This window comes from Homo sapiens, chromosome 19 (genome assembly GCF_000001405.40).
Source record: "Homo sapiens chromosome 19, GRCh38.p14 Primary Assembly".
Taxonomy (NCBI): Eukaryota; Metazoa; Chordata; class Mammalia; order Primates; family Hominidae; genus Homo; species Homo sapiens.
The window spans coordinates 47,255,240-47,280,835 of record NC_000019.10 but is presented as its reverse complement, the minus strand read 5'-3'; the positions used below and the strand labels follow the sequence as shown (position 1 = coordinate 47,280,835).

Sequence of the window (25,596 nt, the reverse complement as noted above, 5' to 3'; positions counted from 1 at the left end):
GATTTTTTATTTAGTGTACAGATGGGGTCTCGCTATGTTGCCCAGGCTAGTCTTGAACTCCTGAGCTCAAACATTTCTCCAGCCTCAGCCTCCCAAAATGCTGGGATTGCAGGTATGAGCCACCATGCCTTGCTTTTACTTTTTTCATTTTAAAAAAAAAAGTTTATTTTTATTTTGTAGAGACGGGGTCTCACTATGTTGCCCAGGTTGGGCTTGAACGCCTGGGCCCAAGTGATATTCCTGCCTTGGCCTCCCAGGGTGCTGGGAGGTGATCGCAGGTGTGAGCCTCTGCACCCAGCCCACACACGGATTTTTGACCACTTCTCCCCTCCTCCCCAGCCAACACTCTAGCACAGCCACCATGGTCTCTCACCTGAACCAGGGCGGTGGTGTCCTCATTGGGCTCCTGGCTTCCACCATCGCCCCCTGCAGTCCATTCTCCACATCGCAGTCAGAAGGTCTTGAGATCTGAATCAGCGCACACCCTCCTCACCTCAGAAGCCTCCCATGGCTCCCACCTCATCCAAAGTGCACATTGTGGCCGGGCACAGTGGCTCACGCCTGCAATCCCCGCACTCTGGGAGGCTGAGGCGGGTGGATCACTTGAGGTTAGGAGTTTGAGACCAGCTTTAGCAACATGGCGAAACCCTGTCTCTACTAAAAATACAAAAATTACCTGGGTGTGGTGGCACGTGCCTGAAATCCCAACTACTCAGGAGGCTGAGACTCGAGAGAATCACTTGAACCAGGGAGATGAAGGTTGCAGTGAGCCGAGATCGCGCCACTGCACTCCAGCCTAGGTGACAGAGTAAGACTGTCTCAAAAAAAAAAAAAAAATTGCATTCTGTGGTCCATGAGGCCCTGATCAAGCTGCCTGTCCTCTCTTGCCTCACCTCCTCCTCTTGCTCTCCCCACTCCCTCTTGCTTCAGCCACTCTGGCCTCTTCGCTATTCCTTCAACAAGCCAGGCACACCACCCCGAAGGTTTTTGCACTTACTGTTCCCTCAGCCCCCAGAGACCTGCCAGCCTCACCCTCACCAGTCTTGGGCTTCTACCCAGTAACCACACCCTCCATCATCCCCATCACCCTTACCCTGCTTTCACTCAAAGTTATGAATCACATTTCTTGTCTTTGTCCCCGCTAATATTTAGTTCCATTAAGAACAGGAATTTTTTTTTTTTTTCTTTGAGACAGAGTCTCACTCTGTCACCCAGGCTGGAATGTAGTGGTGCAACCTTGGCTCACTGCAACTTCCCCATCCTGGATTCAAGCAATTCTCCTGCCTCAGCCTCCCAAGTAGATGTGATTACAGGCACCCACCACCACGCCCAACTAATTTTTGTATTTTTAGTAGAGACGGGGTTTCACCATGTTGGCCAGGCTGGTCTGGAACTCCTGACTTCAGGTGATCCGCCCTCCTAGGTCTCTCAAAGTGCTGGGATTACAGGCATGAGCCACCGCACCCGGCTATTAACTGAATTTCTTGTCTGTGTTCCCACTAATATTCAGTTCCATTGAGAGCAGGAATTTTTTTTTTTTTGAGACAGGGTCTTGCTCTCTTGCCCAGGCTGGAGTGCGGTGGTACAGTCACAGCTCACTGCAACCTTGACCTCCAAGCAATCCTCTCACCTCAGCCTCCCGAGTAGCTGGGACTACAAGGCATGCACCACCATGCCCGGCTAATTTTTGTATTTTTTGTAGAGACAGGATCTCACTATGTTGTTCAGGATGGTCGCAAACTCATGACCTCAAGTGATCCTCCTGCTTTGGCCTCCCAAAGTGCTGGGGTTACAGGCATGAGCCATCACGCCCAGCCGAGAGCAGGAATTTTTGCCTGTTTTATTCACTCCTGTGTCTCCAGTGTTTAAAATAAGCTTTGGCACACAGCAGATGCTCAAAAAATAATTGTGGGTTTTGGGTGGGTTGTTTTTTTAGTTTTTTAGAGACAGGATCTTGCTGTTTCCCAGGCTGGAGTGAAGTAGTGCAATCATAGCTCACTGCAGCCTCGACCTCCTGGACTCAAGCAATCCTCTCCTCTCAGCCTCCTGAGTAGTTGGGACTACAGGCATGCACCACCACACCCAGCTAATTTTTTAATTTTTTGTCCAGATGAAGTCTTGCTGTGTTACACAGACTGGTCTCTAACTTCTGGCCTCAAGTGATCCTCTGGCTTTGGCCTCCCAAAGTGCTGAGATTACAAGCAAGAACCACTGTGCCCAGCCTCAAAAAATATTTGTTAAAAGGAAGATTAAACAATGGAGACCAAAAGAGAAACCAAGAGAAATAGGAGGAGAAAAGGAAGAGATAAAGGGAAGGAGACAGGGGACACTGAGACTAGGGACCTGGAAGCTGTGGGGTGCGGGGGCAGGGGAAGGGGAGCAAGGTGGAAGAAAGTGTTGGGGTAAGATAAGTGTGGAGGAGAGAAGAAAGAGAATCAGCTGGGGCTGGGCACAGTGTCTCACGCCTGTAATCCCAGCACTTTGGGAGGCCGAGGCGGGAAGCTCACTTGAGGTCAGGAGTTCAAGACTAGCCTGGCCACTCTGGTGAAACCCTCTCTCTATTAAAAATACAAAAATTATACGGGCATGGTGGTGGGCGCCTGTAATCCCACCGCCACTGCACTCCAGCCTGGGTAATAGAGCAAGACTCCATCTAAAAAAAAAAAAAAAAAAAAAAGAACGAGCTGGGGACAGAGAGCAATAGGGAGGACACAGAATGAGCAGAATGAGTCAGAGACATACAGAGTGGGAGAGAGAAACAATACCAAGAGACACCAGAGAGATAAACAGGACACAGAAAGACTGAGACGCAGAGAGACAAACACAGAAAGAGAAAAGAGCCAGGACACACAGCAACAAGGAAACGAAAGAGTAGGAAAAAATGGGGCTGGGAGAAGAGAGATGAAAACCAAAGAGAGGGGGGCCAGTGGGAACCGAAATGGAGAGGCCCCTCCCTCAAACTCACCATTTGCTGGTGGCCAGGGCTTTGGACTGACTTGCTATCCCCAGAGGATCCCAGCTGGGGCTTTTAAACCCTGAGGGACAGAGGTGGTGGAGAGAGAGAACATGTGACATCGTTCTCAGGGCTTGAGATCACCAGTTTATTTATTCCTCAGAGCAAGTCTATGAAGAAGTACCATTAGCATCTTCATTCTACAGAACCACAGAGGCAGGGCCAGGCACAGTGGCTCATGCCTATAATTCCAGGGCTTTGGGAAGCCAAGGTAGGAAAATCACTTAAGCCCAGGAGTTCAAGACCAGCCTGGCTAACATAGTGTGAAACCCCATTTCTATTAAACAAACAAACAAAAAATGCTTAAAAATTTTAAATAAGTTATAAGGCTGGGTGCAGTGGCTCACGCCTGTAATCCCAGCACTTTGGGAGGCCAAAGTGGGCAAATCACCTTAGGTCAGGAATTTGAGACCAGCCTGACCAACATGATGAAACCTCGTCTCTACTAAAAATACAAAAATTAGCCAGGCGTGGTGGCGGGCGCCTGTAATCCCAGCTACTCAGGAGGCTGAAGCAGGAGAATGGCATGAACCCAGGAGGCGGAGCTTGCAGTGAGCCGACATTGCACCACTGCACTCCAGCCTGAGCGACAGAGCAAGACTCCGTCTCAAAAGAAAAAAAAAAAAAAGAAACAGAGGCCGGGTGTGGTGGCTCATGCCTGTAATCCCAGAATTTTGGGAGGCCCAAGTGGGCAAATCACGAGGTCAGGAGTTCGAGACCAGCCTGGCCAACATGGTGAAACCGCGTCTCTACTAAAAAATACAAAAATTAGCCAGGCGTGGTGGCAGGGGCCTTAATCCCAGCTACTTGAGAGGCAGAGACAGGAGAATTGTTTGAACCTGGGAGGTGGAGGTTGCAGTGAGCAGAGATCGAGCCATTGCACTCAAGCGTGGGGGACAAGAGTGAGACTTCTCTCAAAATAAAAATAATAAAAAATAAAAATACAAAAAAAAAATTAGCTGGGTGTGGTGGTGGGCACCTGTAATCCCAGCTACTCAGGAGGTTGAGGCAGGAGACTCACCTGAACCAGAAGGCGGAGGTTGCAGTGAGCAAGATCATGCCACTGCACTCCAGCCTGGGCAACAGTGCAAGACTCCATCTCAAAAAAAAAAAAAAAGAAACACAGAGGTCAAGTGACCTGCCCAAAGTCACACAGTTTGTAATGAGAGGAGCTGGAATTTGAACCCGAGTAGTCTCGCCCCAGTCAGTGCCCCTAACTATCACCTATGCTGACTACAAAGAAGTGCTGGCTTCCTAGATTCCCCTTCACAACCACCCTCTGGGGAGTGGTGGTGGGGTAAAGGGGAGGTGAGCAGAGCAGCTGACCTTCCTAACCACCTCCACAGATCTCCAGGAGCCACAGCGTGGGAGAAGATGCTCAGCCTCACTCTCCTGGGAAGGCCTCCAGCTCAAGCGGGGAGGCTGGACAGGAACCAGCTTCCTGCATGTCAGATCCCAGGCCCTGTCCAGAGCCAGGCCTCAGTCTTCCAGGATGGAACATGGCCTCCCCACCTCGGACTCCTTGCCCAGAAGCTAGACCTCAGTTTCCCGGCCTTGGTTTCCTAGCAGCGCCCCAGGCCAGAGGCTGCACCAGTCTTCCAAGGCAGCACAGCGCTTTGGTCATTGGCTCTGAGATTTCCAGACAGGCTGAGAAGCAACACCACCGCCGCCGCCATCCACTCTCATCTCTCTGACCCCAGGAAGTGGGCCAGCATCGTTCCCTCTCGGCAGCCAACTGAGATCCCTGGGTGATTCAGCCTCTGTCCCTGACATGATAATTACACCAACAGCAATTCCCAGAACCCCAGCTATTGTCCTATATCACCCCACCCCTCCTCTTGTCTCCTGTGCTGTAACACGAGGGCAGACACTCTGCTTCTCCCCAGAGACATTTGTCCTTTGCTCCAAGCACACAAAAAACTGGGAAGCCCTTCCCACTGTCTGACCTTCAAAGGCCCTGCTGCTGCTAAGCTGCTTCTCCCTACTCCAAGAAAAGAAGAGCTCCTTAAGGAAGGGGAACAGCCCACCCGGGACAAAACAGACAAAGGCCACACCCCAGGAAGGTCTTTCCCACACAAACTTGGGAGGGGAGGCATCTCTGCAGACAACAGGACAGACACAGCACGAGGCAGCCGAGGCTGTCGTTTATTGCAGATGGACACGGATTCAGGGAGGTGAAGAGGCAGATGGGCTGTGGGCTCTGTGCTCAGCATCCCACAGCAGGAGGGGCAGGAGACAGAGCTCAGGATGGGATCTTCCTGATGGTGGAGGACCCGGCCTGACCACAGAGTAGCTGCAAGAGGCAAGGCCCCGAGCTGACACCCCCTGGGCCCCCATTCCGCGGGATGACGGCTCCAGAGACGCTGAGCGATGTCATTAGGAAGAAGGCCGGACCAATCCAGAGACGGTGCATCCTCGGCGTGGAGCACAGAGCTCTCGAGGGCTGGCGATCCGGGTTGGGGTGGAAGGGAGAGTTACCCGGGTCTTCGCCCCTCCGCGGCCTCTGGCGTCTCTCTGGGTGTCTGGCGGCTCGGACGGCGGTCAGGGTCGCTGTAGCGGCGGCGGCGGCTCAGCGGCAGCTGGAGCTGGGGTCGCGGCCCGCCGGGGACTCCCAGGAGGCAGGAGAGGGAGGCAGCGGCGGGCGCCGGGACAGGCGGCACGCCCGGGCGGGCAGCACACGGAGGGGACGGCGCGCTGGGCTGTGGGCCGGCGGGTGCCGCGGGAGACCGCGTGGGTACCCAGATGAGACCGTAGTACACGGCGAGCAGCACGGCAGCTAGCGAGACGCAGAGGAAGTAGGCGCATACCGGAGCCAAGCGCAGCCAGCGCCCCCGCGGGCCCTCGCTCAGCCCCGCGCCTCCGGGGCTCTCGGCGCCGCCGCCCACGCAGCTGGTCCCCCGCATCCCCGCAGCCCACTCGGCTCCGCGCCGCAGACCGCACAGGCCCCGCCCCCACCAGGCCCCGCCCCCACCCCGCAGACCGCCCCGCTCTCTAAACCGCCCGCCTCCGGCCCCGCCCCCGCCAGCATGGTCACGCCCCCACGCGAGCTGCCGCCTCCGCATCCTAGGCCCACCCCCTCCAGCCTCCGCCCCACCACCGACAGGCGGAGGTGCTACCCCGCCCCCCTCGCTCCAGCCCCGCCCCCGCGCTTAGCCCCACCACCCCAATCACCGCCTCCTCCCGCCACAACACGGTTCTCTTCCCAGACTCGGACTTCATCCAGCCCAGGCATCTAGCCCGCCTCGGAGCCCGCCCCCTCGTCCCGCTCAAGCCCTGCCTGGAGCCCTAACCCGCCCTGTGCCGCAGCCAGTCTCACTTCTCTACCTGTCGGACTGCTCTACTCCAGTGCTCGAGCCCTGCCCGCTACGGCCTCTGGCTCCCACACTCTAGTTCCGGAATCCCCGCTCTCCTCCCGCGCGGGTTCCCGCGCGACACCCCGACCACGCCCCCGCTGACGGCCCCGCCCCATGCCCATGGCCAGAGCCCCACCCGCGCGCGCTGACCCCGCCCCCCGCTCTAACTCCGCCTGTCAGGATTCCGGCCCCGCCCAGGCAGCCTAGCTCCGCCCCCGCGGGACCCGCCTCCTCCAGCACACTCTCAGCCCGCTTTCAGGTATCCTCAGCACCTCAGGCCCCGAGGTTCCAGCTCCGCCCCTCACCGCAATCGCGCCCCTTCTCCCAGCTCCTCCCCAACGGTCAGCTTTTCCCTCTCCCTAGAGCCAAGGGGTCCAGACTAGGCTCTGGGGTAGAAAGAACACAGCCTGGAAATCCAGATAAACCCCTCCTCACGCCCCCTCCCCATCAAGGCGGGGAAGCTTCAGTCCCCTCCCAGCAGCGTCTTCAGGAATTCGGGGAGGCCTGCGGGAGGGGGGAGGGAAGACGGATCAGAAGGGTGGAGGAAGACCCCTTCCTTCCGCCTCTTCCGCCACAGAAAAGCCCGCCAAGCACAGCGACCCAGCCTGCCCCCTCCAGAAACACAGTTCAAGGGTGAGCGGAAGCACTGCGTTTAATACGACAGGGCTGGCGCCCGAGTAATTCAAGCCCTTCGGAAGTGTCACCGGCTGCCAGGCCTCGGATGCAATCCTGGAGGCGGGAGATTCGGCCTGAAGACTGGCTCGAGCCGCCCAGGGCCTCCATGGGAGACTAACGCGGAAGCGTCCCAGCCGTCCCAGTGCCGTGACGTCCCCCGTTGGTGGGGCCTGCACCCGACTACTGCCCTGGCCCCGCCCGGCTCGCAGACCCTGGCTCCTCCCCCCTTAGATTTAACCCTCTCCTGGCTGGAGTGTGGCAGAAGCAGAGGACAGAGGAGCGAGGCGGTGGGAGGTTAGTGCAGAGCGCGGAGGCCGCGGTCCGGCGGGCGCGGTCAGCGAGCGGCCCCCGGCAGCGGAGGGGCCGCCACCACCTTGCAGAAACGCACCCTCTGGAAGTCGGTGATCTCCGCCGTCTCCTGGCCTTCGGGGCCTGCCTCTGAGGAGAGAAGGGGCTGAGTCAGCGGAGGGGAGCAGTCTTCCCACCTCCCCCCCGGCCCAGCACCCCTCCCCCGTCTAGCCACGTCTCTCATCCAGTTCGAGCCCTTGCCACAGCAGGCTCGGCGCTAAGCGGTTTACGGGGCCCAGACTAATCCTCTCAGCGGACCCACGCAGCAGCAAACACTCCCAACATAACCGTTTACAATCGAGGAAACGCGGGTGTGGCGAGATCTGGCTCCCGACCAACAAGTGGCCCAAGACAGAGGGTCTGGGCCCCCGCGCCACCCAAGGCTGCAAACTGTCCTCTCCCACCCCCGCCCCATCTCACGGCCTTCATCAACCTCCACCAAGCCAGTCCTAGAGGACCCGCCCTCCCCTTTCCTTCGCCAACGCCTGCTATTCTAACCAGTCCTTCCTTGGCTCTGCCCCCAAAATCCTAATCCCACTCTGGGGGAAGGGGAGGCCATCTGAGATTCGAAATCTTACTCCTACGGAGTGTAGGTGGAGAGGGGCTTGGCCTCTTGCTCGCACTTCGTCGGTCCCAAAATGCTGATCGGGTACGCATGTCTATTCTAATTTGCCCCACTAGGTTGCACCTCGGAACTCTAATCCCAGCCACAGTTAAATCCAGTTTTCTGCCCTTGCCCATCTCTTTGGCCTTTTCGAGCCAGTTCAAATTTCGTAGTCTGCCTATAGCTCCTGCCCTAGTACACCAACGCCAACCACCTTTTTTGAGACGGAGTCTTGCTCTGTCGCCCAGGTGGGAGTACAGTGGAGCGATCTCGGCTCACTGCAGCCTCCGCCTCCCAGGTTCAAGCGATCCTCCCGCCTCCCAATTAGCTGGGATTACAGGCATGAGCCAAGGCATCCGATCCACACCCCATTACTCTTAAACCAGTGCTTTCCAAAACCCCTGAGCTCGACTCCAAAATTCTAATCCTTTCCTTAACCCCACCTCCTCAACCTCCATACCAAATTCCTATTGGCTTGGCCCATAAAGTTGCCCCTTTGCCCCACCCCTGCCACCCGGCTCCAGCCCCCCATCCCTATCCGAGCTCACCCTTTTCACCTCACCTCTATGGTCCAACTGCTACCTACACACATTCACCCCACTCCCCCCAAGCCCTCTGCCCCTCAGCCCCAGAGAAAGAGGAAGCAGCGGCCTCCATCCCATGCCCCATGCACTCCCCCACCTGGAGTTGCCTCAGACCCTTCCTCTTCAGCTTCCTGGGTTCCTCGGAGGCTGGGCCCACTCTCCGGGAAGGCAGGGGCTGACTGGCCACCTCCTAGGGAAGGGGAGCCCCAGTCAAGCCCCCTTTCCCGCCTGACATCTCCCCACCCCAAGAGAGAAGGCCCAGGGGGAGTTGAAGGGGGTTCAAGGACACACCTGGGGGAATGTCATTGGAGGATGTGAATTCTTTATTGGGGAGGGGGCTCGAAGGGCTGGGGCAGGCTCTGGGAGTGGACATTCCAGAGACGGGCATGACAGTACAGAAGAGCATGGGCTGCGCTACCCCCTCAGCTGACAGGGCTGTGGGGCACACTGGGTCCCAGGGCCCAGCCCCAAGGGTCCCCCACCAGCCACACCCCTCTAGCGCGCGCGCGCGCGCGCGCGCGCGCGCACACACACACACACACACACACACACACACACACACACACACAGGCAGCCAGCTTCATACACTCTCAAAAGGCCAGGCCTCACCCGGGGAGAGGGCGCCAGCCAGGTGAGTGGTCCGGGGAGAATTCAGCTCCACCTCTTCACCCCAATCGGACACAGGCTGGTGGCCGCTGGGTGGTGAGAAAGGGCTGGAAGGCGTGCCAGGGGCCTGGGGCTCCAGCAGGGGCTCCTCCGGACTGAAGGGGACTCCGTGGGCCTGCTCACTGCAGGGGATCCCGGTGGGGGCAGCCTCTGGGGCTTGGTGGTCTTGGGCTGGTTCCTCCTCATCACCTTCTTCCACCTCGATCTCCTCCTCTTCCTCATCCTCACTTATGTCCTCCCATTCTTCATCCTCTTCCCCCTCATTCTCTTCCCCCTCGTCTTCAGGAGGCCGGTGGGCAGGAGCTGGGATCTCGGGTGGCTTTGGGGACACAGGCAAGTCAGGGCAAGGCACAGGTCCTGAGCCCCCACCCCAGGCCCGTGCCCTGAACCACAGCCCAGCCTCACCTGCATGGGTGTCTCCTTGGGGGAAGTCTCGGGGGAAGTAGGCTGTGGAGTCTCAGGGGCTGGGGATGCTGCCCCTTCTTTTGTCTCCCAGCGGTCATCATGGTCACTAGAGGGAACAGAGGGAGGGGTGATGCCTGGGTGGAGAGTAGACAGGAGGAAGGGGCTTCCTGCCTCCACCCTCCCTAGGGAGGAGCTGCCCAGAGCATCTGGCATGGTGGAGGGCTGAGGGAATGGCGGATGTGTGTCCCCATGTGTCAAGGACAGAACGAAAGTGGGGCAGGTAGCAGGAGAGGAGATGGGTGACGGCAGAAAGGGGACAGATGAGGGTAAAACCAAGAGCCAGATCCCAAGCCCCTCAAACCACGGACCTGCGAGATAGACAGGGCCAAGACAAAGACAGGGACAGACAGATGTACCCACACCTTCACAGCAAGCCAAAGAAGAGAACGCCCTGCGGAGAGCCCTGGGGGTATGCAAGCCCGCAGAAGGGGTGCCCCACCTGTAGGCCCTGGGCGCTGCCTTGGCCTGGGGCCGACTGCTCTTTCTCCTTCTGCGGCTGCTGGCCTCAGCTTTGTGCTGGGACAGGAACTCCCCAAAAGTAGGGGGCTTCGGGGGCCGGGCCCAGGCCTGGTCATCTGCAACAGAACCCAGGTGTCATTGGGAAGGGAAGGTGTGGCACACACCACCCCTGACTCCCAGACCGAGCCTCAGCTCATCCAAGGGCACCCACTCACCATAGCGGTGGGATGGTTCATGGGCAGGGACTGGGCCATCCTTGAACCTGGGGGAAAGATAACGGGTGAGCGGGCAGCTGGGGGAACAGGGTAACAAGAGGATCAAGAAGATGGGAGAGGTCAGGGTCAGGAATCGGATCAGAGACAGACGGTCAACCAGACAGGGGACACTAGAAGTAGGACAGGGCCGGGCATGGTGGCTCAAGCCTGTAATCCCCGCACTCTGGGAGGCCGAGGCAGACAGATCGCTTGAGCCCAGGAGTTCAAGACCAGCGTGGTGAACATGGTGAAGCCCCACCTCTACAAAAAATACAAAAATTAGCTGGGCGTGGTGGCACGTGCCTGTAATCTCAGCTACTCGGGAGGCTGAGGAGGGAGGATCACTTGAGCCTGGGAGGTCAAGGCTGCAGTGAGCAGTAATCAAGCCACTGTACTCGAGCCTGGGTGACAGAGGGAGACCCTATCTCAAAAAAAAAAAACAAAGGATAGGACCAGGTGATGGGCAAGAGGCAAATTTGACAGCATAGTGACAAATACAAAAAGATTCAGAATGTGGGCGCCAAAACAAAAATTTGGGGGGATCACCACAGACCCTTGCCCAAGTACATGACCCACAACTCCCTATCTGACCTTTCCCACCAGTCTCCCTCACCTCTCCAGCTAAGCAGGCTCTTCCACCACACCTAGCTCCTGCCTCAGGGCCTTAGCGCCTGCTCCTGGAACGTTCTTCCCACGTTTTTCACTGGCTCACTCCCTCACCTCCTTTCAGGGCTCTGCTAAGAGGCCTTCCTGAACCCCCAGCTAAGATAATATTAGGGCCGGGCACGGTGGCTCACGCCTGTAATCCCAACACTTTGGGAGTCCAGGTGGGCGGATCACCTGAGGCCAGGAGTTCGAGACCAGGGTGAAACCCCATCTCTACTAAAAATACAAAAATTAGCCGGGCTTGGTGGCTGGCACCTGTAATCTCAGCTACTCGGGAGGCTGAATCAGAATTATTTGAACCCAGGAGGCGATGTTGCAGTGAGCTGAAATCACACCACTGCACTCTAGCCTGGGCAACACAGCAAGACTCAGTCTCAAAAAAACAAAAAAAAAAAGATAATATTATTACACAGATTATCTAAGTCTAAAATTCTAACCTCCACCCTGGCTGCTTACTCTGCATCATTATCCTTCTGGGCCTAACATTAGACCTCTTAATTACCCACCTTGCCCACTACACTCTTAGTTCCAAAAAGGCAGAAATGTTTTGTTTGCTGCTGTATCACCTAGAACCTTCCATGACATAGAGGAGGACTCAAATATATGCTGATGAAAGCAAGACACCATGCATTTTTTTTTCTTAGAGATAGGGTCTTGCTCTGTGGTCCAGGCTGGAGTGCAGTGGCATCATAACAGCTCACTGCAAACCTCCTGGGTTCAAGCAGTCCTCCAGCCTTGGCCTCCTAAAGTGCTGGGATTGTGGGGATTACAAGCATGAGCCACCACGCCTGGCCCAGACACACATTATTATTATTATTATTATTATTTTTTGAAACGGAGTCTCTCTCTGTCGCCCAGGCTGGAATGCAGTGGTGAGATCTCGGCTCACTGCAAGCTCCACCTCCCAGGTTCACACCATTCTCCTGCCTCAGCCTCCCGAGTAGCTGGGACTACAGGGCGCCCACCACCACACCCGGCTAATTTTTTGTATTTTTAGTAGAGACGGGGTTTCACCGTGTTAGCCAGGATGGTTTTGATCTCCTGACCTCGTGATCCACCTGCCTCAGCCTCCCAAAGTGCTGGGATTACAGACGTGAGCCACTGCACCCGGCCCACACAAACATTATTCATCAGACTTGTTGCAAACTGCTTTTAGGACACATAAGAAAAACAAATACTTTCTCATTGTGAATGCTGAGAACATCTCCCCAAAAGCCCAGCTGCCTCCTCCTTAGGAAGATCAGCTATAGTATCTGTGCAAATTATTTCTCACACTCGCACAGGCTTGGTTCACAATCCACAACAAAATGCTTCCCGACCACTGGGCAAACAGACAAAATCCTCCTTAGCCAAAGCCAAAAAACAAGTTATAGGTGAATGAAAACTTTCAACACAGGAAAGAATGGGGGATGAGGTAAAACCTAAAGTTGCTGATCTTTAAATACTGCTATTTATCGGCTCTTCCAGAACCTTCTCCTTCTTGGTTATGGAAGTTGGTCCCCATGACGATGATGCAATGAGGGCTTTGCTTTAAGTCTGACTGAATCGGGGGACAAAGTCAAACTTGAGGTTAACAATGCCACTGGGTTAAGAAGGTGGTGGTGCCGGGCGCGGTGGCTCACACCTGTAATCTCAGCACTTTGGGAGGCTGAGGTGGGTGAATCATGAGGTCAGGAGTTCAAGACCAGCCAGGCCAACATGGTGAAACCCCACCTCTACTAAAATTACAAAAAATTAGCTGGATGTGGTGGCACGTGCCTGTAATCCCAGCTACTCAGGAGGCTGAGGCAGGAAAATCGCTTGAACCCAGGAGGCGGAGGTTGCAGTGAGCCGAGATCACATCACTGCACTCCAGCCCCGGCAACAGTGCGAGACTCCGTCTCAAAAAAAAAGTAAAAAAAAAAAGGTGACGGTGAGGCATGGAGACATTCAGGGATCTGAGTTGCTGGGGACAGGTCAGAGGCTGGCAGGAGGATGCAAAGGTCTAATCGCTGTTAAACAGCCTTCATGCCCTCCCTGCGTTGGAACTGATGTCCCTGCCGCCACCGGTGTTCCTATCCACTGGAGGGGGCAGAGCTTATTTCCCCGCCCCAGTGAGGCGGGGTGTGCTGGCGAACACAACTGGGAAGTGTGCCTGCTTGTGCATCTGCCCATGTCAGGGCAAGCGCTCCCCAGGCAGCTGCTGCCCTCAGCCTGGACAGCAGAATGAACACCCTGGCGCAGAGTGAATTCACCCTGCTGCAAGAAGCCAAGCCCAGCGGGACCCACAGCTTAGCGTCCAGCCTGGATCAGCTCAGCCCAGCATACCCATGAACACAGAAGAAATCCTCTCACCCCAGCTGCTCAGGAGGCGGAGGCAGGAGAATTGCTTGAACACGGGAGGCGGAGGTTGCAGTGAGCTGAGATCCTCCCACTGCACTCCATCCAGCCTGGGCGACAGAGCTAGACTCTGTCTCCAAAAACAAAAAGAAAACCAGAAATGCTCGGCCGCGCGCGGTGGCTCACGCCTGTAATCTCAGCACTTTGGGAGGCCAAGGCAGGCAGATCACAAGGACAGGAGATTGAGACCATCCTGGCTAACACGGTGAAACCCTGTCTCTACTAAAAATACAAAAAATTAGTTGGACGTGGTGGCGGACGCCTGTAGTCCCAGCTATTCGGGAGGCTGAGGCAGGAGAGTGGTGTGAACCTGGGAGGCGGAGCTTGCGGTGAGCCGAGATCACGCCACTGCACTCCAGCCTGGGCGACAGAGCGAGACTCCGTCTCAAAAAAAAAAAAGAAAACCAGAAATGCTCTCACGTGCCGCTGAGCTCCAGCAGCTGGTCCATGGCATCTCAGGATACTTGGCAGTCACTCACTCATACACAGCAGGAAAAACCAGAGAGAGGCATAGGACTTAGAAGTCAGGGCCAAGGTCAACGTGCCACATGGGGAGAGGAGCGGGGAGGAGACTCACATCCCATCGGTCTTCTCGGCATCCCACTCGCGCCTCCACTGGCCAGTGGGCTTGCGGTGCCTCTGCAGCCGCTCCTGGTCGATCTTCTCCCTCTCCTGCTTCCAGCGCAGGTACTCCGACCGCTCCCGGCCCGTCATGGACAACGTCATGTCTCCAGCACTGCCCAGGCCAGCTCGGCGGCCCTGCCCCCCAGCCCACAGGGAGTCAGGGTGATGTCCCGCACCCTACCCCGCCCCTAAGCCCCGAGGCACATCCACTTGCTCAGGATCACACAGGGAAGCGATGACAAGGCAGAGATCACAATCAACTAGGCTCAGGTGGCACCTCCTCACAGAGGCCCTCTCAGATCTCCTAAGTAGCATCCCTCTGTCCCCTCAGCTGCTGGATTTTTCTCCACAACACTTGGTAGGACCTCACATCTCACTATATTTTCATTTACTCAGCTCCCACCAGAAGAAACCTCATCAAGGCAGGGGCTCTGCCTCCAAACTCTTCTCCCGCCGGGCGCGGTGGCTCACGCCTGTAATCCCAGCACTTTGGGAGGCCAAGGTAGGCGGATCATGAGGTCAGGAGATGGAGACCATCCTGGCTAATATGGTGAAACCCTGTCTCTACTAAAAATACAAAAAATTAGCTGGGCGTGGTAGCGGGTGCCTGTAGTCCCAGCTTTTCGGGAGGCTGAGGCAGGAGACTGGCATGAACCCAGGAGGCAGAGCTTGCAGTGAGCCGAGATCGCGCCACTGCACTCCAGCCTAGGCAACAGGGCAAGACTCTGTCTCAAAAAAAAAAAAAAAAAAAAAAAAAAAAAGCCAGGAGCGGTGGCTCACGCCTGTAATCTCAGCACTTTGGGAGGCTGAGGCGGGCAGATCACGAGGTCAGGAGATAGAGACCATCCTGGCTAACATGGTGAAACCCCATCTCTACTAAAAGTACAAAAAATTAGCTGGGCATGGTGGTGGGCACCTTAGTCCCAGCTACTGGGGAGGCTGAGGCAGGAGAATGGTGTGAACCCGGGAGTCGGAGCTTGCAGTGAGCCAAGATCACGCCACTGCACTCCAGCCTGGGCGATGGAGCAAGACTCCATCTCAAAAAAAAAAAAAAACCTCTTATCCTCAGCACCTAAAACAGTACCTGGCACATAGTAAGTGCCCAGTAAACAATACTGTTAGTAACAAGAAAACCCTCAAACATACCACAAAGCTGTAACAACTAGAGCCACGTGGTACTGACAGAAGAACCAACAGACGGACAATTTAGGGGTGGACCACCAAGTGCAAGGACACTGCCCCTGCCTCCTCTTCTAGGCCAGGTCCCCACCCCTCACACAGCACCTGCCATGTGGTAGGTGCCTCATAAATGCTGGTGTCATTAACAATGAGGGGAGATTTACCTTGGCAGGAAACAAAACATACCATAAATCCTTAATAATTAAAATCCTGGGCAAGCACAGTGGCTCACACCTATAATCCCAGCATTTTGGGAGGCCGAGGCAGGTGGATCACTTGAGGTCAGGAGTTCAAGACTAGCCTGGCCAACATGGTGAAACCCCGTCTCTACAAAATACGAAAAAATTAGCCAGGTGTGGTGGCACTTGCCTGTAATCCCAGCTACTCGGGAGGCTGAGGCAGAATTGCTTGAGCCCAGGAGGCAAAGGCTGCAGTGAGCCGAGATGGTGCCACTGCACTCCAGAATGGGTGACAGAGCGAGAATCCGTCTCAAAAAAAAAAAGTCCTGTGCTGTGGCACAAAAAAGGAGAGGCCCCATGGCCCTGATCTGTCTGGTTCCTGCTATGCAGTCCCCATCAAAGCCCTGAGAGCCCCGAGGTGTCCTCACTGCCAACACCCACCTGCCGCTCGTGCTCAAGGCCACAGCGCACCCGCTCGAAGTCGGGGCCCCCCCAGTTGCGGCCGTGCCGGCGGCTCTCCTCCCGGCGGTCCCGCTCAGACTCCTCCAGGGGCCCGCTGCGTCGCCGGGGGTCGTCCAGGAAGTTCCGCACTGGGTTGGGTTCAAGAACCCCTTCCTGCAGGCAGCAGAGCAGGGGGTTGGCGCGGGCTCCCCGCAGCCCAGGCAGCTCGGCCCTGCCTCGGGGACACCCGCACCACTGACCCGCTGGTTGCGCTCATACTCGGCGATCTTCTCCATCTCCTCATTCATCTTCTCAATGTTCTGCCTGCGCCGCTCCTCCCACTCCTGGGGGGATAAAGATAGGGACACCCAGCTTCAGGGAGAACTATTAAGCTGCCGGTGCAGGAGACGGGCTGCCCAGCAGGCCTGAGGCTCCTCTCCTCGGACTGGCCTGCTGGCATCTGACCATTTGCTCTCAGCGTGCTCCAGGTCAGCAGTGAACTGATGAGGCTGGCTGGCCAGGCTTGGACTATGCGAACAACACGCTGTACGCTGCATTCGCCTTCCTACTGGGGGGTCTGGAATTTCAGTACATACTAGACAGAAGGGGCCTGCGTTCAAAACTAGCCTCCAGGCTGACATGGTGGCTCACACCTCTAATCCAAGCACTTTGGGAGGCCAAGGCAGGAGGATTGCTTCAGCCCAGGAGTTCAAGGCCAGACTAGGCAACATAGCAAGACCCTGTCTCTACAAAAAATTTTAAAAGTGGCCGGGCGCGGTGGCTCACGCCTGTAATCCCAGCACTTTGGGAGGCCGAAGTGGGTGGATCACCTGAGGTCAGGAGTTTGAGACCAGGCTGGCTAACATGGGGAAACCCCATCTCACTAAAAATACGAAAAAAATTAGCCAAGCATGGTGGTGGGCGCCTGTAATCCCAGCTGCTCGGGAGGCTGAGGCAAGAGAATCACTTGAACCCAGGAGGTGGACGTTGCAGTGAGCCGAGATTGTGCCACTGCACTCCAGCCTGGGCAACAGAGTAGGACTCTGTCTCAAAAAATAAAATAAAATAAAAATAAAAATAACGGGTCGGGCACAGTGGCTCACGCCTGTATTCCCAGCACTTTGGAAGGCCGAGGCAGGTGGATCACGAGGTCAGGAGTTCGAGACCAGCCTGGCCAACATGGTGAAACCCCGTCTCTACTAAAAATACAAAAGTTAGCCGGGCATGGTGGTGGGCACCTGTAATCCCAGCTACTTGGGAGGCTGAGACAGGAGAATTGCTTGAAACCAAAAGGCGGAGGTTGCAGTGAGCCGAAATCATACCACTGCACTCCAGCCTGGGCAACAAGAGTGAAACTCCATCTCAAAAACAAAAAGAAATTTTAAAAACTAAATAAATACAATAAATAAAAATAAACCAGCCCCCAATTAAAAACCTGGAGTGCTGAATCTCTCGTGGGCATCCCTGGTAAGCCACATGTTGTCACAATTCAGTGCTGGAGGAATTCAGCGCATCCCCTGGGACTCCACAGGGAAAGGACTCTTGGAAGTTCATGCCGGGTTTCCTCCAGACCTCAGCCCAGGTACCCCGCCCCCTGCTGATTTTGCTTTGTGATCTCTTTCACTGTGATAAATCTAAGCCATGAGTCTTTCTAGCAAACCACTGAACCTGCGAGTTCAGTGTCAGGGTGCTGGGGGCCCTGGCACACCAAGGTTGCCGCAATCATAGTGGTGGTAATAACAGTAATTACTTGGCAGATGGTTAGGTGACCTACCCCCACCAACCACAATCCGTTCTCCCCTTCTTCCTTCCATGGTAGCAAAAATTTATTGATTTTTTTTTTTTTTGAGACAGGGTCTTACTCTGTTGCCCAGGCTGGAATGTAGTGGTGTGTGTTCACAGCTCACTGCATCCTTGACCTCCCAGGCTCAGCCTCCCAAGTGATCCTGCTGGCTCAGCCTCCCAAGTAAGTAGCTGGGACCACAGGGGCACACCACCACGTCCAGTTAATTTTTAAAATTTTTATAGAGATGGGGTCTCACTCTGTTGCCCAGCCTGGTCTCAAACTCCTGGGCTCAAGCGATCCTCCCACCTTAGCTTCCCAAGTAGCTAGGACCACAAGCCCATACCACAGCACCCAGCATTCCAAGTAGCTAGTAACTACTTGTTACTAGTAACCAAGCTAGTGACAAAATTTTAGATGGGCAAATAGCCAGCCAGCTGTAGACAACGTTTTCATTTCCCAGTCTCCTTTGAGGTTAGGTATGACCAGGTGTCTAAGTTCTCACCAACAGGACATGACCAAAAGTGATAAAGCAGACTTATCTTTCCCCTTCCTGTGAACTGAACCGCAACCATGTCGGCAACCCAGCTGTTACCACAGACAATGACCAGGACCTAGGGGCCACCAAGCAACAAAAACAGGAACCAGGCCGGGCGCAGCAGCTCACACATGTCATCGCAGCATTTTGGGAGGCCGAGGCGGTAGGATCACCTGAGGTCAGGAGTTCAAGGCCAGCCTGGCCAACATGGCGAAACCCCATCTCTACTGAAAACACAAAAACTAGCCGGGTGTGGTGGTGCACACCTGTAATCCCAGCTACTTGGGAGGCTGAAGCACAAGAATTGCTTGAACCCAGGAGGCGGAGGTTGCAGTGAGCCAAGATCATGCCACTGCACTCTAGCCTGGGCAACAAAGTGAGACTCTGTCTCAAGAAAAAAAAAAAAAAAAAAAAAGCAGGAACCTGGGTCCCTGAGTGACATCATGGAGCAGGGCCTCACCCCCTGGACCACCCACCTCCCTGCAGGGCTCAGCATACAAGGGAGAAATAAACTCCTACTCCACTTAGGTCATGAAATTTTTGGAGTCTTTGTGTGACAGCAGCTTGGCATGCCCAATTTAAGTCTAATTATTTTTTTTTTTTTGAGACGGAGTTTCACTCTTGTTGTCCAGGCTGGAGTACAATGGCGCAATCTCGGCTCACTGCAACCTCCACCTCCCAGGTTCAAGCAATTCTTCTGCCTCAGCCTCCCGAGTAGCTGGGATTACAGGCGTGTGCCACCACACCCGGCTAATTTTTGTACTTTTAGTAGAGATGGGGTTTCGCCATGTTGGCCAGGCTGGTCTCGAACTCCTGACTTCAGGTGATCCGCCCACCTCAGCCTCCCAAAGTGCTGGGATTACAGGCCTCGTGAGCCACCACGCCCAGCATTTTTTTTTTTTTTTTTTTTTTTTGATACAGAGTCTCATTCTGTCGCCCAGGCTGGAGTGCAGTGGCATGATCTCGGCTCACTGTGACCTCCACCTCCCAGGTTTAAGTGATCCTCCTGCCTCAGCCTCCCAAGTAGCTGGGATTACAGGTGCCCACCACCACGTCCAGCTAATTTTTGAATTTTCTTATTCCCGTGTAAGTGCTAGAACCAGAAGCTCACAGGGGAAGTGAGCTGCCCAAGGCCAGGTAGCTCACAGAACCAGATTCAACCCATGTCCACGGTGGGCTGTAAGCCACTCAGCTAGACAGACTCCCACCCTGCTGACCTGCACGTCAGGGGTGAGTGAGGTAGTTACAGTAAAATCACTGCTCCCCATAACCAAAGCCGGGGACCAAGAGAAACACACAGAAACAGAATGCCACACAGAGCCTGTGCTCACAAGCACACCAGATAGAGAGAGCCCACCAGACAGACACACAGTGCCAGAAAGGGAGGAGAGATGGGGACGGAGGATGAGTGGGCAAGCATGCACCAGAGAGCGAGAAAAAGGGAGACAGAGAGGGACAGGGAGGGACACGCAGCACTAAGCAGGAGAGGGGAGGGAAGGAAGGCGAGGAGGAACAAGAAGACGGGGAGCAGGAGTAGGAGAGAAAGAGACAAGGAAAAACACACGAGCTCTAGGCGTGAGAGGGAAGGAACAGGGGGAACTAGAAGAGGGGGAGCAGGAGGAGGAGAAGGAGGTGGAGGAAGAGAGAAACAGAGCCAGATGCAAAGGCTCAGAGAGAGATACTGAAAGATGGACACACAGGACAAATGTGCATCTGAGAGGAGGAAAAAACAGAAACAGACAACAGAGAACCTCAGCCAGGGCTCCAGGCGCTGCCTAGCTCCTACCTTGGATTTACGGTCAGAGATTGAGGTGTCTCCAGCTCCAGAGAGGTGAGGTGAACCTCGGCCCCGGCCCCTCCGGCCACGGCCCCCAGCTCCTCCTCCTCGAGGCTGCTCCCCGGGGCTGCCCTCCCAGCTGCGCGATGCTCGGCCCATGCCGGCCCGGCCTCCCTGCTGTGGAGGAGTCCGGCCCCCCTTGCTGGCCCCTGGGGGCCGAGGGGTCCCAGGAGACCTCCGGGAAGGACCCAGGTTCTTCTCCTGGAAGAGGGGAGATGGGGAAAATACAGTCACTGGGGCAGGGAGGCATGCGGCCAGGATGGAGGCCACCCACTGGTGCAGGACAGCTGGGGGCTCCTGGGTCCCAGGCCTCAACCCTCTGCCCCTCCCCATCCTCAGGGTCCCACACCCCAGTGACGAGCTCACCGACTCCACTGCCACGTTCTCCTTCTCCACTGAGCGGCCCTTTCGGGGAGCTGTGACTGCGACTCCCTCAAGTTCAGCTTTCTTACGGTCTTCCTCAATCTCCTAGGAGCAGACAGCCGGGGTAGGGAAGCATCAGGTGCCCTGTCTGCCAGACGGACTCCCAGACCCCTGAACTCCTCCTAAGTCTGGCCCCAGCCCAGGCCTCTCTCCTGGACTCTGAACAAGAAGGCCGCTCATATCCCTCAAACCTCAGCACGTTGCAGCCCCACTCAGAACGTTCCTGTGGTGCCCCTCTGAGTAACAGCCTTCCCCACAGCCTGTGGGACCCGTGGGGTCTGGCCTTGGTACCTCCCCGACCTCATCTCTCACCCTCTCCCCACGATCACTCCGGCTTCCTTGCTATTCCCACAACATACCAGGCTGAAACCTGCCTCAGGGGCTTTGCGCCAGCGGATCCCTCTGCCAGGAACACTTTTCCCAGAGACCCTCCAACCCCTCACCTCCTGTAGGTCTCTGCTCCAATGCTGCCTTCTCGTGAGGCCTTCCCTGAGCACCCTGTGGAAACCAGCTCCCCTGCCACCCTCTCTGTTCTCATCCCATTTGCACCCAGCACCATATGCGTCTCGCTCACTGTCTGCTTCCTCCACTACGGCAGAATCTGCCTGGGGACAGGAATGTCTGTCTGCTTTCAGTGATGTATGTCACTGACGTGTATCCCAAGTCTAGAACGCTGCCTGGCCCACAAGGGAAATTCAATATGCCTTTTTTAAAATGAATGAATACATGAAGAATGAATAAATGAAACCCATGCCACCTCCCAGATCCCATCTCAGGGAGAGCCACATCACCTACTCAGCAGCCTTGTCCTAAATCCTCCCTCTTCCTCCCCCTGCCCTGAACTGCCCATCAGTAACTGAGTCCCTCTCAACAGCCCTGCCCTGAGCCAGGTACCTCCTCTCCCACTAGGGTTCCAGCCCCAGCTTCCTCCTTGGTCTCTGGGCTCCAGTATCACCTCCTCGCACCCACCACCGCACAGCACCCAGAGGCGTCTTCCTAAAGAGCTGTTCTGACCGGTCCCACCCCTGCTCAAGGCTCTCCCTGGCTCCCCAGTGCCCTCAGGACAAAGTCCAAACTCATCCTGGTGGCATTCAGGGCCTAGCACAGCCTGGCCCCTGCTGACCTGCCCAGGTCAATTCTCTCCTAACCAACCCTCCAACTTGAAGCTCCAAGCTCTCTCTTGCTTCCAACATTTGCACAAACTGTTCTTTCTGCCTGAAACATGTTCCCCTCGCCTTTTCAACTGGCTATTGTCTACTCACCACTCAAGCCTCAGAGTCCACTCCTCCAGGAAGCCCTCCCTGATATCCCCAAGGCTGGGTCAAGAGCCTCCTCTGGACTCCCACAGACCCCTGAATTTCCTGATTCCAGACTTGTCTGCTCTGGGGCATCCCTGAGGACAGGGCTGTCTCCCTGACTAGACGGTGGACCCTGGAGGGGGCAGGCCTGGGTCTGTCTCAGTCACAGCTATATCCCCAGCACCACTCAGCACTGGGGCTGGTAAAGATCTTGGGGAATATTTGTGAACAAATGAATGAATGAATGAATAATGGAATGAAAGAAGGGATGTCAGGCTAAGGCCTTTGGCCTTTATCCTGACAGTGATGGGGAGCCATGAAAAGGTTTTAAGGAAGGGAGAGGTGAGAAAAACTCACTGCGGGGAAGAGAGGGGATGGGGTCTCCCAGGGCGGGGCTAGGGCACCTGGTAGCGCCGGATGAGGGCCTCATTCTTCCGCCGAAGAGCCTCGATCCTCTTGTCCAACTCAGCATCCTTCTCCTCCTTTGATTTCAAATCGAGTGTGGCTGCCTGAGACCGGGAGGCAGTTGAGGGATGGAAGGAAAAACCTCCATCCATACCAGGGACTTTCCCCCAGGGTCTGAGAGTCTGCCCCTATGGATCCCATCCTCCCAAGCCCCCTTCCCCAAAACTCAGATTCTAGAGACCCCATTTTTCAGCCTCACCATTTCGCTGGCTGCGTGGAGCCAAGGTCCCAGCAAACCTCCCCTGCAGAATCTAGACGCAGCACTGAGGGTTCCTGGGGACAGAGGGAAAAAAAGGACAAAGGCCAATGGCCCCCCAACCTACTTCACCCTCTAACATACTGCGGGATCCTCACAGCCATACACAAAAAACCCTGTACCCCAAGAGAATTGTAGCCCTCACTCTCCCTCCTTTCAACTGCCACCTCCATCTTCTCCATAGAAATTCAGACTCAGCCCTTTCATGATCTTTGTGGACTCACCCAGTTCCCATGTAAACGATCTAGTCAAACCCACCTTGGGGATGTTCTGGCCCCCACCCACTGCTTAAGTATCCAACACTGCTCTCCTCCAAAGGCTGATTCTAGGCCAGCCGCCACACCCTGTGGTATGAGTGTTAGCCCGGGTTCCCTATCTCAAGAGAGTTCCAACTACAACCCCTCCAACCAGCCTGCAAAAGAAAGTTCCAGACCCACCTCCCTGTGCTCATCCTGGTGCCTCTCATATCCAGGCGAATATTCTAGCTCCACCAGGTAAGGTTCAGAAACATTCCCAATCCCACGCTCAAAGAAAGTCCGAACCCCACTCTTATTGGCTGCCCAAGCTCTCAGAGAACATTCCAAGCCCGCGCCTTCCTCAGGGACGTCCTAGTCCCGTCTCCAGCGCCCTACGGAAGGTCGACAGCCTCCCGCCTCCCCCGAAAGGATTCTGTACACAGGCCCAGAACTCACTGGCGAGGCTTCCTGGAACTGGCGTTTTGCCCCACTGAATACTCCACCCGCCCCAACAAGGACAAAACTACCCAGGCCCGCCCCAGATTTTCTGTGCAAAGCTCCAGCCTCAATCCGGCTGGGAATGCCAGGGCCACGTCCCCGACATCCTGGAAACCGCTCTGGCCCCGCCCACGGCTCGGGAAAAAACTTTCTGGCCCCGCCTTTCCCGCCAGACTTCTGGCCCCGCCCCCACCCATGGGCCATTAATGTGGCCCCGCTCCCGACTTTCCCAGCCACGCTCTTTCCCCGCCTCCTGGCTCGCAGGCAACAGCCTACACCCGCCCCTACCATCTCTTATTATTATTCCAGCCCCGCCCCCGGCCTGCCCAGTCAACCCTCTGGCCCCGCCTCCGATTGGCCTGGCCAACCTCCTGGACACGCCCCCTGACTCCCTCCCACACCTCGTTGCGTCAGCATCTGGCCCCGCCCATGGCTTCCCCAGGGTTCTGGCTCAACTCCCCGCTTCCCCGCCTCCCGGCCAACGCTCTGGCCGCGCCCGTGGCTCAGACGAAACTTTCTGGCTCCACCCCCAGCATTCCCCGCCAGCACCCTGGCCCCGCCCCCTGGCTCCCCCACTACATTGTGGCCCCGCCCCCGCCATTGCGTCAGCCTCTGGGTCCGCCCCCAACGTCCCGGCCAAGAATCTGGACCCACTTCCAGTAAGGCAAAACTTTCTGGCCCCGCCCACAGAGCTTCCGCCCGGCGTCCGAGCCCCGCCACACAGCTGAACAAGCAACACTATGGCCCCGCCCACAGTCCAGCCACAACTTTTAGGTCCCGCCCACAGCCGCCGGCCCAGGCTCTGGCCACGCCCCGCCCCGACCCTGCCCACCCACCCAACGGCCCGCCCCGCCAGCGCCCCTCCAGCTTCCCATGTGGGCGTCCTGTCCCCGCCCCCCGCAGAGAACTCCGACCCCGCCCGGGCCTGTTCGCACTCCCCGCCACGTGGGGCTTCAGGCCCCGCCTTCTCTGGGCGCGCTCCCGGCCCCCTCCCCCAGGTCACCTGTCCCGGAGACCCCGCGGCGTCCGCGACTCCGGCTCCGTCGGCCTCTGCGACCGCAGCTCCCGGGCCAGGCGCGTCACTTCCTGCCTGCACCACGTGAGGAAGGGAAATAAAGAGGGTCACTTCCGGTCCTGTGGGACCGTTTCCGGGAGCCTTAAAGGGGCCGCGCCTCCGCGATGGATGCGGGAGCGGGGCCGACTGGCCCCCCGGGTGTTCCGCAAGCTCATCCAACTTCCTTCTGCCTGAATTACCAACTTCCAGGAAAAGGAGACACCGTCCTCACTCCCTGGCCTCTACCTCTTTCTTCAAGCTGTTTCCGCCTCCAGCCCCTCATTCCTGGTTTCTATCAGTAGATGCCAAGCACTGGGCACTGACGCCTGGAAGCCTGGCGTGGTTCGAGCCCCCTCGTGCCAATGAAACCTTAGAGTTCGCTTTAGAAGCTTCAGATGTTCTACCGGCCGTGGGCGGTGGCTCACACTTGTAATCCCAGCACCTTGGGAGGCCGAGGCGGGCGGATCACCTGAGGTCAGAAGTTCGAGATCAGTCTGGCCAACATTGTGAAATCCCGTCTCTACAAAAAAAATTAGCCGGTTGTGGTGGCGCGCGCCTGTAATCCCAGCAACTCGGGAGGCTGAAGCAGGAGAATCGCTTGAACCGGGGAGGCAGAGGTTGCAGTGAGCCGAGATCATGCCACCGCACTGCAGCCTAGACGACAGAGCAGACCCCTTCTCGAAAATAAAATAAAATGCTGGGCGCAGTGGCTCACGCTTGTAATCCCAGCACTTTGGGAGGCCGAGGAGGGCGGATCACTTGAGGCCAGGAATTCGAGACCATCCTTGCCAACATGGTGAAACCCCGTCTCTACTAAAAATACAAAAAAAATCAGCCCGGCGTGGTGGCGGGCGCCTGTAGTCCGAGCTACTCCGGAGACTGAGCCAGGAGAATGGCGTGAACCCCGGGGGCGGAGCTTGCAGTGAGCCGAGATCGCTCCACTGCACTCTAGCCTGGGCGACACAGGGAGACTCCGTCTCAAAAAATATACATATACAAAAATTAGCCAGGCATGGTGGCGGGCGCCTGTAATCCCAGCTACTTGGGAGGCTGAGGCAGGAGCATCGCTTGAACCCGGGAGGCAGAGGTTGCAGTAAGCCGAGATTGCACCACTGCACTGCAGCCTGGGCGACAGAACGAGAGACTCCGTCTCAAAATAAAATAGGCCGGGCGCCGTGGCTCACGCCTGTAATCCCAGCACTTTGGGAGTCCGAGGCGGGTGGATCACCCGAGGTCAGGAGTTTGAGACCAGCCTGACCAACGTGGTGAAACCCTGTCTCTACTAAAAAATACAAAAATTAGCCAGGCATGGTGGCGGG

The 25,596-nt window shown here is 56.4% G+C and overlaps 2 protein-coding genes across 11 annotated transcripts, besides 9 other annotated features; both read right to left on the bottom strand.

Annotated features, from left to right (window-relative positions):
- Positions 2,303-2,440: a transcriptional cis regulatory region, noted in NCBI's record as "candidate enhancer chr19.5070 targeted for multiplex CRISPR interference". NCBI's record gives its function as "positively regulates INAFM1 gene expression with high confidence in K562 cells {active_cell/tissue: K562}" and the evidence as "EXISTENCE:mutant phenotype evidence [ECO:0000015][PMID:30612741]".
- INAFM1 (InaF motif containing 1) lies at positions 5,113-6,413 on the bottom strand. 2 transcript variants are annotated; one of them, NR_037675.2, is made up of 2 exons: positions 6,338-6,413; positions 5,113-5,789 (listed from the first exon to the last, which is right to left on the bottom strand). NR_037675.2 is itself a non-coding variant. In NM_178511.6 (1 exon), the coding sequence occupies exon 1, from the start codon at positions 5,914-5,916 to the stop codon at positions 5,488-5,490; it is 429 nt and encodes a 142-aa protein (NP_848606.3). In that variant the 5' UTR covers positions 5,917-5,951; the 3' UTR covers positions 5,113-5,487. The 2 variants fall into 2 exon arrangements, 1 of the variants encoding a protein (NP_848606.3); NM_178511.6 differs by lacking the exon at positions 6,338-6,413 and having other exon boundaries at positions 5,113-5,951.
- On the bottom strand, positions 5,113-24,311 carry CCDC9 (coiled-coil domain containing 9). 9 transcript variants are annotated; one of them, XM_047438583.1, is made up of 15 exons: positions 24,227-24,311; positions 22,433-22,506; positions 22,173-22,277; positions 20,414-20,515; positions 19,997-20,248; positions 16,150-16,233; positions 15,890-16,063; positions 14,044-14,225; positions 10,383-10,429; positions 10,148-10,283; positions 9,649-9,754; positions 9,187-9,562; positions 8,675-8,767; positions 7,430-7,479; positions 5,113-6,870 (listed from the first exon to the last, which is right to left on the bottom strand). In XM_047438583.1, exons 2-15 carry the CDS (start codon positions 22,433-22,435, stop codon positions 6,853-6,855), a joined length of 1,728 nt encoding a protein of 575 aa, XP_047294539.1. In that variant the 5' UTR covers positions 22,436-22,506; positions 24,227-24,311; the 3' UTR covers positions 5,113-6,852. The 9 variants fall into 9 exon arrangements, with proteins under 9 accessions (XP_047294539.1, XP_047294536.1, XP_047294538.1 ...); XM_047438580.1 differs by lacking the exon at positions 5,113-6,870 and having other exon boundaries at positions 7,001-7,479; XM_047438582.1 differs by lacking the exons at positions 5,113-6,870; positions 24,227-24,311 and adding an exon at positions 22,927-23,339 and having other exon boundaries at positions 7,001-7,479.
- Positions 5,580-6,029: a silencer, noted in NCBI's record as "silent region_10852". NCBI's record gives its function as "represses an Ori minimal core promoter by ATAC-STARR-seq in GM12878 lymphoblastoid cells {active_cell/tissue: GM12878}" and the evidence as "EXISTENCE:reporter gene assay evidence [ECO:0000049][PMID:35858748]".
- Positions 6,390-6,649: a silencer, noted in NCBI's record as "silent region_10851". NCBI's record gives its function as "represses an Ori minimal core promoter by ATAC-STARR-seq in GM12878 lymphoblastoid cells {active_cell/tissue: GM12878}" and the evidence as "EXISTENCE:reporter gene assay evidence [ECO:0000049][PMID:35858748]".
- Positions 7,260-7,569: a silencer, noted in NCBI's record as "silent region_10850". NCBI's record gives its function as "represses an Ori minimal core promoter by ATAC-STARR-seq in GM12878 lymphoblastoid cells {active_cell/tissue: GM12878}" and the evidence as "EXISTENCE:reporter gene assay evidence [ECO:0000049][PMID:35858748]".
- Positions 13,671-14,170: an enhancer, noted in NCBI's record as "H3K4me1 hESC enhancer chr19:47769923-47770422 (GRCh37/hg19 assembly coordinates)". NCBI's record gives its function as "activates a minimal SCP1, AML or CMV promoter by ChIP-STARR-seq in primed H9 embryonic stem cells {active_cell/tissue: H9 hESC(primed)}" and the evidence as "EXISTENCE:reporter gene assay evidence [ECO:0000049][PMID:30033119]".
- Positions 23,513-23,562: a silencer, noted in NCBI's record as "silent region_10849". NCBI's record gives its function as "represses an Ori minimal core promoter by ATAC-STARR-seq in GM12878 lymphoblastoid cells {active_cell/tissue: GM12878}" and the evidence as "EXISTENCE:reporter gene assay evidence [ECO:0000049][PMID:35858748]".
- Positions 23,603-23,842: a silencer, noted in NCBI's record as "silent region_10848". NCBI's record gives its function as "represses an Ori minimal core promoter by ATAC-STARR-seq in GM12878 lymphoblastoid cells {active_cell/tissue: GM12878}" and the evidence as "EXISTENCE:reporter gene assay evidence [ECO:0000049][PMID:35858748]".
- Positions 24,053-24,162: a silencer, noted in NCBI's record as "silent region_10847". NCBI's record gives its function as "represses an Ori minimal core promoter by ATAC-STARR-seq in GM12878 lymphoblastoid cells {active_cell/tissue: GM12878}" and the evidence as "EXISTENCE:reporter gene assay evidence [ECO:0000049][PMID:35858748]".
- Positions 24,053-24,962: an enhancer, noted in NCBI's record as "H3K27ac-H3K4me1 hESC enhancer chr19:47759131-47760040 (GRCh37/hg19 assembly coordinates)". NCBI's record gives its function as "activates a minimal SCP1, AML or CMV promoter by ChIP-STARR-seq in naive H9 embryonic stem cells {active_cell/tissue: H9 hESC(naive)}" and the evidence as "EXISTENCE:reporter gene assay evidence [ECO:0000049][PMID:30033119]".